We start from the raw sequence: 16,312 nt of genomic DNA, 5'->3' as shown, positions 1-16,312 counted from the left end.
ACCAATGGCGACAGGTAGCTGTGGCCTGGGCCAGCCCCTTGTCGGTCTTTCCTCCACGTCCTTCTTCTCCCACGTGGGTATCCCATAATAGCCCCATTGGCTGTGGGGAGGTGTGTGAATAGCCCCACTTGCTGTGGGGGGTGTGTGCTGGGTGGATGGTGCAGGTTTAGGGGGCTGAGGATGAGGAAACAGAGGAGCTCTTCCTGAGCTATAGCCTGAGGCCCACTGCCTCATCATCCCCTGGGAAGTGTGTTAGGAACGCCGGCAGGGCCGGGTGCGGCGGCTCACGCCTGTAATCCCAGCACTTTGGGAGGCCAAGGCAGGTGGATCACCTGGGGTCAGGAGTTCGAGACCAGCCTAACCAACCTGGTGAAACCCCATCTCCACTAAAAATACAAAATTAGCCTAGCGTGGTGGTGCATGCCTGTAATCCTGGCTACTCGGGAGGCTGGGGCAGGAGAATCGCTTGAACCCAGGAGGCGGAGGTTACAGTGTACCAAGATTGTGCCATTGCACTCCAGCCTGGGCAACAAGAGTGAAACTCTGTCTCAAAAAAAAAAAAAAAAAAAAAAAAAGAATGCTGGCAGGCTGGGTGTGGTGGCTGAGGTGGGCGGATCACTTGAGGTCAGGAGTTCGAGACCAGCCTGGTTGACAGGGTGAAACCCCGTCTCTACTAAAAATACCAAAATTAGCCAGGCGTGGTGGGTGGTGGGCACCTGTAGTCTCAGCTACATGAGAGGCTGAAGTAGGAGAAGTGCTTAAACCCGGGAGCCGGAGGTTGCACTGAGCCAAGATCGTGCCACTGCACTCCAGCTTGGACAACAGAGACTCCGTCTCAAAAAAAAAAAAAAAAAAAAGAATGCTGGTTCCTGGGTTTCGCCCCTGACCCAATAATCTGAACCCTTTGAAGAAGCAACCAAGGCTTGGATTTTATGGGATCTAGCTACAAGAACGATGTGAGACGCACCTCAAAACTGTAGTTCTCAACCCTTGTTGCCCATTAGAATCACCAGGAGTACTTTAAAAAATACAGGGGCTCAGCCGGGCGCAGTGGCTCACGCCTGTAATCCCAGCACTTTGGGAGGCCAAGGCGGGCGGATCACGAGGTCAGGAGATCGAGACCATCCTGGCTAACATGGTGAAACCCTGTGTCTACTAAAAATACAAAAAAATTAGCCAGGTGTGGTGGCGGGTACCTGTAGTCCCAGCTACTCGGGAGGCTGAGGCAGGAGAATGGCGTGAGCCCAGGAGGCGGAGCTTACAGTTAGCTGAGATCGTGCCAGTGCACTCCAGCCTGGGCGACAGAGCGAGACTCTGTCTCAAAAAAAAAAAAAAAAAAAAAATACAGGGGCTCCAGTGCCACCCCAGAGATTCTCAAGGGTCTGCAATGTGGCCTGGGCATTGGTAATTTTTCAAAGCCCCCAACTGGTTGAATGTGCAGCTGGGCCTGAAAACCACCAGCCTTCTATGGTCATGACATCAGAATCTCTGGGCTGGAACCCAGGCATCTGTGGTTTTTCAAATTCCATGGGAGATTCTGATGTACAGGCAAACTCAAGAGCCCTTGATGTGGAGCCTCGCTTCTCAAAGTGTGGCTCTTGGACCACAGCAGCAGCAGCATTACCTAGAAGCTTGTCAGAAATGCAGAATCCCAGGCTCTCGACCCACCCAGACCGACTGCATCAAAGCCTGAACATTAACAAGATTCCCGGGAGACTCATATGCACATTGCAGTTGGAGACGCAGTTGGAGAACTGAGCTGAAGCAGGGTAAGTTTAATGTTCTAAACTCCCAACCCTAGAATCACCTGGGAGCTAAAAAATCTCAACACCCAGGCAGCACTTACAGTGCTTCACAGGGGGGCATCAGTGGTTCCAAAGGTCCTCAGATGCCTCCAGTGTGCAGGGCTCAGAACCCTAGTGTGGAGGTTTAGCTGGGGCAGGGGTGCAGGGTAAGGGCAAGGTTGGATGGAGGTGATCTCGTCACAGTTAAGGGCACTGGGGGTCCAGCCTGGGTTTTGTTCCACTTCCTATGTCCTGTGATCTGGGGAAAGTGATTTAACCCCACTGGGCCACAGCTTCCTCATCTGTAAAACGGGGATAGGAAATAGTACCACCCCTTGCTCCAGGGCTGTTGAGAAGATGAAATGGGTTAAACCACATGAAGGGCTTTAGTGTGGCAGCTGGCTCTCAATAAGTGCTTCATGCCAGCTACTGTTTTTGTTACTGTTTGGCAGAATCTGCCAGTGGAACACAGAGGGTTAAGAGCCTGTTGTCTGAAGATAAACCCGCTGTGCTAAAGTGTGAAGTGTGGGCACACCACTGAACCTCTCTGAGGCTCGCTTTCACATCAACAATACACAAAACATGATAGTACCCACCTCGCCGGTCTCATCTGTGCCTGCTCTTGCCCGCCTGGAAGCCACACATCCCAAATAGACATGATTCCATAACGTGAGCACAAGAGAGAAGAGGAGATTTTGTTGACAATTTTCTTTCTTTCTTTTTCCTTCTTTCTTCCTTCCTTCCTTCCTTTCTTTTTTCTTTCTTTCCTTTCTTTCTGTTTCTTTTCTTTCCTTTTTTCTTCTCCTTCCTTCCTTCCTTTCTTTTTTTCTTTCTCTCTTCTATTTCCTCTCTTTCTTCTTGAGAGGGTCTCACTGTGTCACCCAGGCTGGAGTACAGCGCCACAATCACGGCTTACTGGAACTTCCTCATCTCAGGCTCAAGCAATCCTCCCACCTCAGTCTCCAGAGTAGCTGGGACTACAGGTGTGCACCACCACACCCGGCTAATTTTTGTATTTTTTTGTACAAAACAGGGTTTTGCCATGTTGCCCAGGGTGGTCTCAAACTCCTAGGCTCAAGCGATTCACCTGCCTTCATCTCCCAAAATGCTGGGATTACAGGCGTGAGCCACCACAACTAGCCTTTGTGGACGGTTTCTTGGAGAATCAAGGAAGAAGTTTCATTTCACACCCCCAACAGCAGAAGCTTTACTAAAGCAACCATTGGACATGTGTTTCTTCACTCCAGGTTCCTCTGCCCTGCCGGCTGCTTGTTCTCTCCTTGTCCCTCCTCCCACAGCCTCCGGAAACCCCATCTGGGGAGCTGTTCTGCAAAGCTGCACCTTATCCACCTCCTGGAGCAAAACACGAGCTACCTGCCGGGGACTGTTCAGAGTGCTTCCTGCGAAGTCTCCCACTCAGAAGTCACAGCGATCCTAGGAGGTAGATCTATTCCTGTGCCCGTTTTACAGACAAGGAAACTGAGGCAGAGTTTTGGTAACCGGTAAGTATGGAATCATGGTTCTACTCCAGGCTCTGTGCCTGCCCCTTAACCTTTCTGACCTCTACTGTGCTGTTCCTCAGGCGGTGGTGGTGGAGGAGGGTCTTACTCCATCTACAGAGGGCAGGGGAGGACAGATTAGACCTTGTTTTGCACAGTGCATTCATTTAACAAATGTTTGTTGAGCACCTACTATGTGCCAGGTGCCAGGGACACAAGGGCGTGTCCTTGTCTTCACAAGAAATATGTGGTTCCTGTCTTCCCAAAAAGATTGATTGAGTTCTTTGAAAAGAGATGAAAAAGGCATCACCTAAATCAAGAGGGTCCTGGACACAGTTTTCAGACTCTCTGAACCTCTGGAACTGCTTGGCCTCTAGTCCAACGTTGCTCACCCCCACCTCACAATTGACCCAGACTCAAGGGGGATGAGCCCCTCCTCCCTGACCCTGGGCCCATCAGGGTTGGTCTCTGGTGACAGAGGAGCAGGGTGGGGTTGCCTGGCCACAGGACGCTGGCCCACAGGTGGGCTGCAGCCCCCACCCAAACCCCAGCAGTTCTCCGCCAAGATCTGGGTGTCCCCCGCCCACTTCCTCCCTGGCTCTCCCCTCCCCAAAAGCTGGTAATTGGTAGACAAAGGAGTTTCAGACAGTTGGGGACCTGCGTCCTTTGAGTCCCTGAAAACATGCTATTATTAATTAAAGACTTTGGCTTCGGCGGGGCCCAGGCCTGCCTTTTCCTGGCTGGGCCTCAGACTTCTGTCTCTCCAGTCGTCTCTTCTTGCTAAATTTTTCAGTGTTTTTAACATCAGACTGATGTTACGTATAATTACCAACTTTGCACCCAAATTATATTTGACATGGCTTGTGTGGGAAATTAGACCATTTCAGCGCCTACAAATTCACCTGGGAAGCCAAGGCAGGCATGCGGGCGTGCCGGGGGGGAAGTAATTTAAATATTACATGTGCCCTCGTGAAAATGCCAAAACTCTTTAAACTGCCAGGAAGAATTCTGTCTTCCCCTCTGCTTGCCCCCCTCCCCAGTCTACTGAGTGCACTGAGGGTTGGGAAGCAAAAGGGGCCTTCAGGCAGGGGCCTTCAGGGGAGCCCTTTCCACTGGGACACCCCTAGGGAGCAGGGGAGGGGCCTCCGGAGATGCCGACTGGAGCCCTCGTGCCACCTGTACGGGGAAGGCCCATCGCAGTGGTGTCTGTCTGTCCATCCATCTGTCTGCCCCTCCCTTCTCTCCCTCCTGCTTCTGACCCACCTGTTCCTGTACCAGGGAGAGGAGGCTCCACCCACTCCGGGATGTGGTGGAGGGTGGAGGTGGGAAGAGAGTGGCCACAGCACCCAGAACCCAAGCCCTGCTGGGATGCTGAGGCGGGGGCTCCGTGGCCAGGCTAAGTGACAGCCTGTCACAGAAGTCCTCTTTGGACCAGATAGGGCTGCCTCACAGGGGTTTCAGTTTGTCATTTCAGTTCAACAAGTCCTGAACACTTACTCTGTGCCAGGAATTTTGCTGGGCATTAGGGATCCAGAGAAGAAGAAAATCCACTTCATTCATTCATGTGTTCATTCAACAAACACCTATTGATCACCTATTATGTGCCAAGTGCTATGTAAGGGGAATATAGAAATTTATTTATTTATTTATTTATTTTATTTTTTAATTTTTTGAGATGGAGTCTTTCTCTGTTGCCGAGACTGGAGTGCAGTGGCGCGATCTCAGCTCACTGCAACCTCTGCCTCCCGGGTTCACGCCATTCTCCTGCTTCAGCCTCCTGAGTAGCTGGGACTACAGGCGCCCGCCACCACGCCCAGCTAATTTTTTGTATTTTTAATAGAGACGGGCTTTCACCATGTTAGCCAGGATGGTCTCGATCTCCTGACCTCATGATCCTCCCGCCTCAGCCTCCCAAAGTGCTGGGATTACAGGCGTGAGCCACCACGCTCAGCCGAATATAAAAGTTTAAAAGATTCATTTGTTTATTCACTCAACTCATACTAAATAAGCACCTACTATGAGCCAGGCTCTGTGCTGGGTCACAGAGAAGAAGCAGGCAGTCCCAGCCCTTACTGGCTCATAGTGAAAATGGGGAGACAGGCTTCTAGGCAAATAATGAGTTACTGGGTCCATCAAATTGGAAGGCCAGACTCTGCCCCAGTTGCTCCCTTGCTTATAGAAGCTGCCTGGTGGAGGGAGGGAGACCCTGATGGCTGCTAAGCACTGTCACCTGGACCTGTGAGTCTGAGAGACAAGGCAGGGGCTCTGCAGCCAGCAGGCCACCCTTTCCTGGCCCTGAGGCCCGTGGTAGGACCCCCGGAGGGGAGATATGGGACCCAGCCTGGCACAGTCTAGGAAAGAAACCTCTTTCTTCCCTTCCTGGGCATCGTCCCTGTTTTAGACTACAAAGAGGAGAGCTGGCTCTCTGTAAGGTTCAGTGTCTTCTGGAAGCCATGCTGGGCCAACTTTAGAGGCAGCGGTACAGGAGCAAGGATAGGGGAGCTGAGGCACCCCCTGCAGCTCCCTCCTCCCACCTGTGCCTGGGAAGGTCCAGGACCAGAGAGAAGTCAGCCAGAGCCAGGGGTTCTCCGCCCAGGATAAAGGGACTCCAGAAAGACATCCCTCCCAGGCCTCAGAGCCTTCTAAGACTGTGGGGGATCCTGGAACCCCAGCTCTGTGTGGATGCAAGGAGGGGTGGTGTTGGGTGGCATCCTTTGGGGACCAACCAAGAAGTCCTAATCCCAGACACCAGCTTCTGCCCCTTAGACTGGTGGCTGTGACTCCCCAGGGCTTTCTGGGCTTCTTTCCTCTATCTCTGGCTCTTTTTCTTCCCCCATGTGCTGGAGTACTCAGCCCCATTAGCCCAGCAATCAAGATCGTGCATGGTCCTTGTAGCCGATTGTGTTTTCTGAAGATGCCGCAGCAGCGTCTCTCATCCATAGGTTCTTCTTACAGTGGTCCTCCTTTCCAGTGGAGGGCTCTGTATCCTCTCCCCTGGAATCTGGGCAGAACTTTGTGAATGCCTCAACCAATGGAACATGACTGCAGGGACACTACTTGATTTCCGAGGCTAGATCACCAACATTTCATGCACTTCTGTCTTGTTCTCCTAGGACTTGCCTTTGGAACCCAGCCGCCATGCTGTGAGGAAGCCCAGGATAACCCACGTGGTGAGGCCATGCAGACAGGTTGTGCATGGGGTTCTAGCCAAGAGCCTGGCTGAGATCTCAGCCAACAGTCAGCTGTGTGAGTGAATGTGCCTTCGGATGATTCCATTCCCTGGTTATCAAGTCACCCCCAGCCTTTGTCTTCCCAGACAAGACCCTAGAATGAGGCAGCAGAGATAAGCTGTTCCCACCATGCCCTGTTCAAATTCCTGACCCAGACAACCCATGGGCATAATCAAATGGCTGTTTTAGGCCACAAAGTTTTGGGAGTGGTGTGTTATGCAGCCATAGATTCTGGAACAATCTCCCCGGAACCCCTCCATTTCCCCACACACCTTTCCCTCCATAGACATATTTGGAGTTCCCAGCATGCTATGGTGTTTCCCACATTCTTCACCTTTGGCCATGCTGTTCCCCTGCCTGGAGTACCCTTCCTTCATTCTTCTGACACATGTTTGATCCATCCCTTAAGACTTAGCTTAAACAGGCTGGGAGCCAGGAAGGCCTCACCTCCTCCTCTAGGAAGCCTCCCTTGACCTCCTGTGGCCAGGGCAAGTGCTCCTCTGCTTCCCTGGCCACGGGCTCACTTTACTGATTTCTATTTGTTGGCTTTGCTCACCAGGCTGTGTGCTCCTGGGTGGCAGGCCACAGGTCCTGTTTCTCCCAGGCATCTTCATCTCCTGTCCTGGCCAACCTGGAAGTGCTTAGAGAGGGCTTGTTTGACCGACTGGAGGGTGTGGAGGATGGACACTAATCCTGGGAGCCAGGGATCCATCCCTCGAGCTTGGATCCTACCTCCCTGCCCACATTCCCTGAGCTCTCATTATAGGGAATCACTGTTGGCCCGATGTGGACTGTGAATGACCTGGGCCTCCAGACCTCAGTTTCGCCACCTGTGAAATAAAAATGTTGGATGAGGATGAAGGGGCTCCTTCAGCTTTTTTGCTCAGGGATTCCCCAAGAGGGTGAGGCAGCTTCCTCGCCATCCAGCCTCCCAGCCTGACCAGACAGGGAAGAGGGAAGGAAGGGGTTTCGGAAGGAAGTCTCATCTAGCCACCCGGCTTTGTTGGAAACTTGGTGACACCCAGCAAACTCCAGCCCTGGAGGCTGAGCTGGGGCATGATGAAGGGGTCTACTGGGAGCAGAAATGCCCCGAGGGCAGGGCCAGGCCGGCGGAGGCGCCTGAGTGCAGGTCCTGCTCTCCCACCTGCTCGCTGCATGACTCGAGCAAGTCATGCCCCTTCACCAAGTCTCAGTTTCCTCATCCGAGGAGTGGAGAGAGCGGTAAAGCAGCCACTGCAGAGGACCGTCAGGAGGACTTGCAGACCAAGGCGGTGGCGCAAAGGGCTCCGCACGGCGACTGCCACGGGCTCCAGCTCCATGAATGTGGCCATCAGCACCGTAGAGGCACCATGAATGAGAACCTGCCCCGTGCCAGTGGCCAGGCCTCATATATTCTTTTTTTTTTTTTTTTTGGAGAGGCGTCTTGCTCTGTCATCCAGGCTGGAGTGCAGTGGTGCAATTTTGGTTCACTGCAACCTCCGCCTCCCGGGTTCAAATGATTCTCCTGCTTCAGCCTCCCACATAGCCGGGATTACAGGCATGCGCCACTACAGCTGGCTACTTTTTGTATTTTTAGTAGAGACGGGGTTTTGCCATGTTGGCCAGGCTGGTCTTGACCTCCTGACCTCAGGTGATCCCCCCGCCTTGGCCTCCCAAAGTGCTGGGATTATAGGTGTGAGCCACCGCGCCCGGCCATTCATACATTCCTGTAATGTCAGTTCCCACCAGAGATCCTGCAGGAGTGAATATCTTTATTGCTGTCTTACAGGGTAGAGAATGAGGCTCAGAGAAGCTGTGTGACTTGTCCAAAGCCACACAGCCATGAAGAAGCAGTACCAAAAATTAGAACTCAAGACTGCCTGAGATCTTGCAGCCTCACGTTCCTGAGACTTCCAGGCAGGGCAGGCCCAGAACGGTGGCACCGATACCACTGCAGAAAGAGTCCATCTCAGCACTGCCAGTGATTTGATGGCAGAAGATTTTGGATGCGGCCTCTTTGGACTCTGCACCCCAGCTCAGGTCAGAGCAGACTCCCAGACCCCAGGGATGAGCTCTAGAAGCACGGGAAGATCCCAGAGAGGACACTGGGCTGGGCCCTGAGACTGCCCTGTGGGTGGGCTGGAAATTCCTCTCACTCTCAGCTCTGGCGGGCCAGGGACAGGCCAAGAGGAGTGGCTGAGTGACATTTCCTCTGCAATGATGTCCCCAATCAGTGGTCACTACAGTCCCACTCAGGACCCTGTACCCCCACATGCAGGCACAGAGCACAGCCCCGCTCCTGGCAACCTGGACCCTATGAGAGTGCATGTGGTCACATGGGCAGCCCCCAGCCCTGCAGCCACACACACAGTCATGTTCACAGGCTCACGTCTGCACGCTCACCACGTGTGACAATACACAGATGGCTCCCTAGGAAGGACAACACGCGGCCCCTGCGCATCTGTCCAGGCTCAGCCCTGATTCCTGAGACTGCCTGGGCATTGCTCCCTGGATACGCAGAGGGCCCCGGCCCCCCTGTGTTCCTCTGCTCTGAGTGTGTGTGCACACAGGTGTGCATGTGTGTGTGCCTGATTGTGTGTGTGTGAGAGAATGTGTGTGTGCATGTGTGTGAGAATGTGCGTGTGCATGTGAGTGTGTGTGTGATGAAGAAGGTTGGGCAGGGGCTTAGAAGCAGCCCTGGCCTTCACTCCACAAAGCAGAGGGTCCTGGAGCTGAAGCCAGTCTAAAAGCCGCAGGTCCTCCCTGTGCTCTGGGCCTCATTCAGCCCTGGGGACAAGCCCAGTGGAGAGTAGCTCTTATTCTTCACTTTAGGAATTGTGAAACAGCCACAGAGAGATTAAACAGCTCACCCAAAGTCACAAAGCTAGATTACAGACAGGCAGCTTGGCAGCTCAAAGCCCAAGACCTTAACCACCAGGTTATGCTGTGGTGGTGGGGTTAGCCCTTGTCACCCACTCTAACCCTCCCTCCTCGCCTGCCCCCTGCTTGGTGTCCCTTGGCACCTTAACCGTTGGTGCTCTTTAAACAGACTGAACTTTCAGTATTTGCTATTCTGCCCCCTCCTCGCCTCTCCCCACTGTCACACACAATGTCAGCCCTACAGAGGTGGGCGTTTGTCCTGTTCTCTCTGTCCCCAGTGTCCTGTGGCACAGTGAGGACTCACAAATGTGTGTAGAAGGGAGGGACTCCGTGGATGAATGAACAGGGTCATGCAGCCTCAGCACACAGGGCTTCCTGCGTCCCGGTCCCGAGCAGGGGCTGGTGTAACGGGCAGGAGGCTGAGTCCCTTGGGGGCTGCAGGTACCACCCCCACTCCTTCCCGCCCAGCTCTCAGTCTCCCTCTCTGGGTGGGATGCTGGTGTCTGAGCTGCTGCTGGCGGGGCTTGCTGGGGACTCCCGAGCTGGCCCAGGTGTTCTGGAAGCAACCCCTGTGGCCCTTCCCCCAACGCCTCCCCCACTGTCCTGTTCTGCTCTCCCAGGATGGCCTCCAGGCTGGGAGGGGGCTGTGACCTCTTGGCGCACACTGGCCCCAAACAGGGCCCAGAGAAGCCGCTGACACCTGCTCCTTTGCCAAGTCTCACCCTCTCTGGTTTCCATCCTGCCCCAGGGCCCCCAGCTCACCCCACCCTGCCCCTACCAGGCCCTCTGGTGCCCCCGCCCGTCACTAGGTGGCGCCAAGTGCCCTGAGACGGCAGGAAGTTGCCCCAGAAGGGCTCAGGGCTGGGGGTGGAGAGGCCGGTCCCTACATTCAGGCTCCGACTGGACCTCCTGTCCCCATGTCCCCTTCCTTGAATGGCGTGGCAGCCCCTAAGAGAGCTGTGCTAAAGGGTGGTCATACATCCCTGACATGTCCTTGCAAGCCTCACAGAGGCCAACGAGGTGAATACCATCTTGTCCCCATTTCACAGATGAGGAAACTGAGGCGCTGGGAAGTGAAAGCCTTGTGTCCAAAGTCACACTGCTACTAAGAAGCAGAGTCGGCCTCAAACCTGGGTCTGCCTGGTTCCCTTCTTCAGTTCTGCTTCCTGAAAGCCCTCCCAGAAGGATCAGTGGCCCCTGAGTGAACCATGGCCCTCAGGAGCTGGCTTGAGGTTCTGTGGAGCCTCAGAGGGGGCAGGTGATTGGAGGAGTGTAGTGGGCAGGGAGGATGGACAAGTCCCAGCTGTCCCTGGATTCCCCGGCAGCTGCCCGATGGGTCAGGAAATGAAGGAAGGAGAGGGGACAGAGGGTCAGGGAGTGGAGGGGACTCCCCCCAGAGAGTACTAGAGGGCAGCTGGGAGAAGCTTGGGGGGCAGGCACGGGTTGGGGGAGAGGTCATCCCTGATGTTCTAGGAAGTGCTTGGCCGAGACGCTGCTGAGATGGGCAGGCCCCATCTTGGAGTGTGCAGACTTCCATGGGTCAGGCCCACCTGCCCACTATGACAGCCAAGTGGCAATGTGGTCCCCCATCCATCCTTTTTTTTTTTTTTTTTTTTTTTTTGAGACGGAGTCTCTCTATTGCTGGAGTGCAGTGGCATGATTTCAGCTCACTGCAACCTCCGCTTCCTGAGTTCAAGCGAGTCTCTTGCCTCAGCCTCCCAGGTAGCTGGGATTACAGGCACGCACCACCACACTTGGCTAATTTTTCTATTTCTGTGGAGATGAAGTTTCACCATGTTGGCCAGGCTGGTCTCGAACTCCTGACCTCAAGTGATCCGCCTGCCTCAGCCTCCCAAATGCTGGGATTACAGGCGTGAGCCACTGTGCCCGGCCCTATCCATCCTTCCCTGGAACACACGGACTGTGCCTGTGCCAGGTGCTGGGGATACCACAGTGAACAGGACCAGTGAGGCCCATGCTTTCTCGGGGGTTACTCTTTAGTTTGGGGAAAACGGGCACTAGACATTCTGCTGTTGAAATTCCTGATATTCCCAGTAAAAGAAAACCAGAGAGATCAGAGAAAACAAAAAGTGATGGAGGGTCTGTTTGGATTGAGTGATCCAGGAGGACTTCTCGGAGGAGATGGTATTAGCTGTCAAAGGCCAGAAAAAAGTGATGGAGGATTTGTTTAGATTAGGTGATCCGGAAGGATTTCTCGGAGGAGGTAGTATTTGCTATGAAGGGCCAGAAATGATTTTCTAGGCAGAGGGGTCAGCAGGAGCCCTGGCCCTAAGGCAGGCATGAGCTTAGTGGGCTCAAAGAGTAGGAAGGTCAGTGGGTCTCCCACTGAGTGAGCAAGCACAGAGGATGGGGGAGGAGGCAAGCCCGAGGCAGGGCCAGACCGAGGAGAATCCTGCAGGGCCACAATTGTCTCCTAGGTAGGAGGGAACGGGGCTTAGAGGTGTCAGCATGGGAGAAACAAGGTCTGCATTTTGGAAGATTACATTTGTTGATGTTGGAGAATGGTCGACAGGGGGCAAGGGTGGTGCAAAGAGACCACCTCAGGGGCCCGAGGGCCTAAGGGCCCTGCCTGGAGACTGTCAAGCACCTGGGTAGCTCAGAACAGTAGAAAATGCACACAACGGGGACTCTAGTACTCTGCCCCGATTCGAGTGCTGGATACACGGCTCACTGACAACACAACCTGAAGTCTACAACTGCCCCTCTCTGAGCCTCAGTGTCTTTTCCTACAAAACAGGGACAAGAAGAGCCGCACAGCCTTCTTCCCTGGCACGTGGTGAGACTCGAGGTCGGGGCATGACATGGGGCCAGAGTTTTATAAACCCTAAGGCGCCAAAGGCAGAGCTGGCAGGTAGGAGGACCCTGAGCCTGGGGCTACTTTCGGGGACTGATACAGGGGTGACATTATTTCTTCTATGGTTGAAATCATCCCTACGGGTCAGCCTCCATCACTTCTCTGGCCTCCCCAGTCCTCTGGGTCTGGGGTCCCAGCTTGACTGATCCCTGGAGGCTGCCCGCACCCTCCCCCCACTCTCTATCCCTCCACTTTTTTTTTTCTGCATCTTCTTTTTAAAATAAAAACACCGGCCGCTCGCGGCTCACTGATGTTTATGCCTCAGTAATACATTATGTATTATTTTGTTTTAAGCACAGCTTTTGCATCCTGACAGTAACAATAAAATGTGACTATGGGATTGCTAATACAGACAGACTAATGTTTCCATCGCCCGCCTCTTTTTTTTGCGTCCTAAGCACTTTTGAAAACGCTCCTTTTATATTCCTAATAAAATTATAGCAAAATACATCGATTTACTGGAAAAGAGTTTAGGGTCGGGGTTGGGTTTTTTCCTCGTCCTCCCCCATGTGTGGGCTTCTTCTTTTCCCCCCCAAAGACTGATGAATATTCTGAATCAAACCTTCTAAGTGCTGTTTGACCCCCGACCCTGGCTGCATCTTCCTGCTGCTGGAGGGCCAGGCTCACCTGGCCCCAGCCTGCTGCGGGCGAGTGTGGACGTGCTAAGCACTTGAGCCGGGTGTTGGGAAGTGGGGGCGTGCCCGTGTGTATGTTGGGGTAGCCATATGTCAGTGAGGGCGTTCGTGTTTATGTCGGGGTGCCATGTGAATGTTGGCTGTGCCTGTGTGTATGTCAGAGTGTCCACGTGTTGGGGTGTCTGCATGCATGTCAGGGTCTGCCCGTGTAGAAGTTGTTGAGGTGTGTGGGACTGTGTAAAGGTGATTGCGGTTCTGTGTGTGTGTGCTAGCTTGTGTGCTCGGCAACACCTACCAGTGTGACTGTTTCTGTGGGAGAATGGGAGAGTGGTGGGTGTTGGGGTGTGAGCCTGTGTGCTAAGGTGCTGGTGGGTGCCCTAGAAGCAGGGTGTGGTGAGTACTGGGCAGTGGGTGTGGATTTATGGATGCAGGGCTATGAGTCTATCTAGAGTGTCCTGGGGCCACTGATGGTCAGAGTCAGGTTTGTGTCACAGTGTGGGGTGGGCTGGGAGTCATCTGCCTAAGTCAGGGACCAGCAGTGATGTCCAGTTCTTTCCCGTTGGGGAATGTAGTTTACCTGTTTCCAGAAAGCCTGCATTATCAAGGAATTACTTTCCATCTGAAGAGTGGAGTCTCCTTCTAGCTGGCCTCTAATTCATTTCCATGCTCTGTCTATGAGTGTGTCATTCTATCTGTCTACACGGGGCTCTGTGGATCCTGGTGTATGTGAACTGGGCACAGCAGGGTGGTTCCTGGGGCACAGAGGCCACCGCAGGCTGTGGCTATGCCGAGCTTGGGGGCTGCCCCTGCCAGCACACAGACATCGATTCTCTGGAGGGGAGGGAGGGAGGGAAACCCTGAAGCTGTTGGTGGCCTCCTGGGCAGCGGTGGCACAGGGGCAGCAGGTGGGGGAAGAGTTCCAGGCCATACTATGAAGGAGAAGCTTTGGATGGAGAGGACCAGGCCCCTTCCTCCCACCCCAGTGGGCTCAGGGAGAGGAAGGAAAGATGCCCTCCTCATCGTCACCAACATCATTGCCAGCATCGGGGCAGGAGGGTTGAGCAGGAAGCGGTGGCCCAAGCTTTCTGCCCTGGGCACCCACTTGGTGCCAGGACCCAGAATCTGGGGGCAAAGCCTTTGTTCCCACCTCCTTCTGCCTTGGTTTCCTGGGGCCAGACGCCTCCAGCTTTCACCCTGCCTCCAGAATCCAGTCTGGGATGTAAAGACACCCCCAGGCTCTCCCCACCCCCACAGTGTGTCCCTCGAGGGAGTCTGAACCCCAGATCCTCAGGGACCCCCTGGCCAGAGGGGCTGCTTCTGGGGCATAGAACTCAGGGGAGGGGCTGGTGGAGAACCCTGGTTCCCCTGCACCCCAGCCTCCACGGAGCTGAGTGCCTGTGGCCGTGCCTGCTACTACAGCTCAGCCCTGCTTCCTCTCCCCATCCTCCCGCCCGCCCTCTCCGGAGTGTATGTGGATCTGCACGATTCGGAAACAGGGAAAAAAAAAAAAAAAAGAATTGGGTTTTGTATACTAAGCACTTTTGAGGGCAATCTTGGGCCCCCTAATCCAGAGGTTTATAACCTCCCCAGCTAATGCTCCCTGACACCGTGTTTTGATATCATTACTACATTATACTCACAATTTTTGAGTGAAAAAATACAGTACTTAGAAAGTCGAAATTCATAAATAAATTCATGTCAAACCGCACTTAATATTGATTTTGTTAGTGTTCAGATTCAATAATAAGGTACTGCGTGCATGAATATTTAAATATAATCATCATTTCTGCATCTCCTAATGGCCTCTGCTCCTCTACACTCAATTTAAACACAATTTAAAAACTATAATGTATTGAAAAATACTAGGATTTAGCAATAAATCATCATCGGGAGATTCCAGGCCTCTTATAGGGTGGCTCGATATGGGTTTCTCCGGGGACTGTACAATTAGATTCATGTTTTTAAACTTCTCAATTATCCATATACCATAATTTTATGTGAAAGTTTGTTTCGCTTCCCCCCGCCCCCCGCCGCCCCCACCCCTTGAGGGCCCCCCCACCCGGCCTCCCTCTGTAGGAAGCGGCAGAATATTGCTTAAGTGTTCTCTTAGCCAGAGTGGAGTGGGGTCAAAGGTGGCCGTCCTCAAACTGAATTAGAGACCAGGCCTGCCAGAGGCAGCCGGCGCTGAGTCACTTAATCACATTATTTGGGAAAAATATAGGGGGGAAAGAGATAAAATGACTTAAAATGAACTTGCCAAGGAGGAAGTGGAGTTTTTTAGATTTATTTAAAAAGCAATCCTTGGCCTGATGAAATAGACGCAGGGCTGCGGCAGGATGTGGTACCAGCCGGGCAGAGTAGCGGAGGGGCGGGGGCTGCCCTCTGGGAGCAGAGGGGCTTCCGGCATGGCCCCTGGGTCCCAGATCTTGGTGAGGAGTCCCTGGGGGTGCAGAAGGCCCCCGTGGGTGAAGATAAAGAGGGTGCCCTTGGGACCTGGGGGTGCTGCGGGAGTCTTCTCATCTGGGAGCCTGAGGCAGGCTGGATGGTGTGGGCTGCAGGGAGGACAGGGCGTGGCAGGGCCCCCGGGGTATATGGGGCTGGGCATGGTGCCCCGATGGCGGCAGGCACAGCTGGCTCTGATAGACGGTGGTAGAAGTGGCACAGCAGCAGGCACAGATGACAGGGGTGGATGGGGACCAGGGCCTGGAGGGATGGTGCCCACACACCAAGTGTGTAGAATCCAATGCCTGCATGTAGCTCCCGGGAGCCCCATAGCCGCTGTGTGATGTGAGACACGGCCATGCCCATTTTACAGATGAGAAAGCTGAGGCTCAAAGTGGGGAAGCCATTTGTCCAAGGTCACACAGCTACGAGGGGACAGTGTTGGGATTTGAACCCAGCTCATTCTAGAGCCAGTGTTCTCTTTGCCTGGCTCCATGCCTCGCTTGGAAGGTGCAGTTGGAGGTGGGGACAATGTTGCCTCTGAGCCTTGGCTTCTGGCCTGCTCCAGAGTGCAGTTCAGCTGTTCACATCGTAGGAGATGGGACCAACATCTGCCCATACAGGGAAGGGTCAGGGACTCAGCAGGGTTGGCTTCTGGAAAACCGTTTGGCCTCCAGACACTGGGGACTGGGGCTGCGGCAGAGGGAGTGGGGTCACTGACATGGATGCAGAGCTGTTCCTCTAGCCCTGCTGCCAAGGAAAACCTGAGTGTTGGACGACTGTGAGGATGCCCCTGGGGCCGCCCTGGAACAAATGGGGCAGGCAGCTGGCAGGAGCTGACGCCTGGCCTTCTGGGCAAGGCTTTCCACATTGGGCAAAAATGCCGGGACAGGACAGGGGCTCTACCTGGGGAGGGGAGGGCCACCAGAGGGGCTGGCTCCCCAGCTGTTTCATGCGCAAGGACAGCAGTAGGGGCCCAGCCATTCCA

The 16,312-nt window shown here is 54.0% G+C and overlaps 1 long non-coding RNA gene across 1 annotated transcript, besides 5 other annotated features; it reads left to right on the top strand.

The window, feature by feature from the left end:
• Positions 1–1,548: 1,548 nt before the first annotated feature.
• LOC105376735 (uncharacterized) lies at positions 1,549–7,370 on the top strand. The gene is made up of 3 exons (XR_001737778.2): positions 1,549–1,769; positions 3,032–3,286; positions 6,397–7,370. It is a non-coding gene; the product is annotated as an uncharacterized LOC105376735 (long non-coding RNA).
• Positions 7,703–8,204: an enhancer, noted in NCBI's record as "H3K4me1 hESC enhancer chr1:10972135-10972636 (GRCh37/hg19 assembly coordinates)". NCBI's record gives its function as "activates a minimal SCP1, AML or CMV promoter by ChIP-STARR-seq in naive H9 embryonic stem cells {active_cell/tissue: H9 hESC(naive)}" and the evidence as "EXISTENCE:reporter gene assay evidence [ECO:0000049][PMID:30033119]".
• Positions 9,413–10,405: an enhancer, noted in NCBI's record as "H3K4me1 hESC enhancer chr1:10969934-10970926 (GRCh37/hg19 assembly coordinates)". NCBI's record gives its function as "activates a minimal SCP1, AML or CMV promoter by ChIP-STARR-seq in naive H9 embryonic stem cells {active_cell/tissue: H9 hESC(naive)}" and the evidence as "EXISTENCE:reporter gene assay evidence [ECO:0000049][PMID:30033119]".
• Positions 9,937–10,196: a silencer, noted in NCBI's record as "silent region_255". NCBI's record gives its function as "represses an Ori minimal core promoter by ATAC-STARR-seq in GM12878 lymphoblastoid cells {active_cell/tissue: GM12878}" and the evidence as "EXISTENCE:reporter gene assay evidence [ECO:0000049][PMID:35858748]".
• Positions 10,568–11,299: an enhancer, noted in NCBI's record as "H3K4me1 hESC enhancer chr1:10969040-10969771 (GRCh37/hg19 assembly coordinates)". NCBI's record gives its function as "activates a minimal SCP1, AML or CMV promoter by ChIP-STARR-seq in naive H9 embryonic stem cells {active_cell/tissue: H9 hESC(naive)}" and the evidence as "EXISTENCE:reporter gene assay evidence [ECO:0000049][PMID:30033119]".
• Positions 14,195–15,210: an enhancer, noted in NCBI's record as "VISTA enhancer hs241". NCBI's record gives its function as "enhancer in: cranial nerve[5/5]" and the evidence as "EXISTENCE:transgenic organism evidence [ECO:0001131][PMID:17130149]".

Source organism: Homo sapiens, chromosome 1, assembly GCF_000001405.40.
Source record: "Homo sapiens chromosome 1, GRCh38.p14 Primary Assembly".
Lineage (NCBI taxonomy): Eukaryota > Metazoa > Chordata > Mammalia > Primates > Hominidae > Homo > Homo sapiens.
This window is presented reverse-complemented; position numbering and strand designations above follow the sequence as displayed.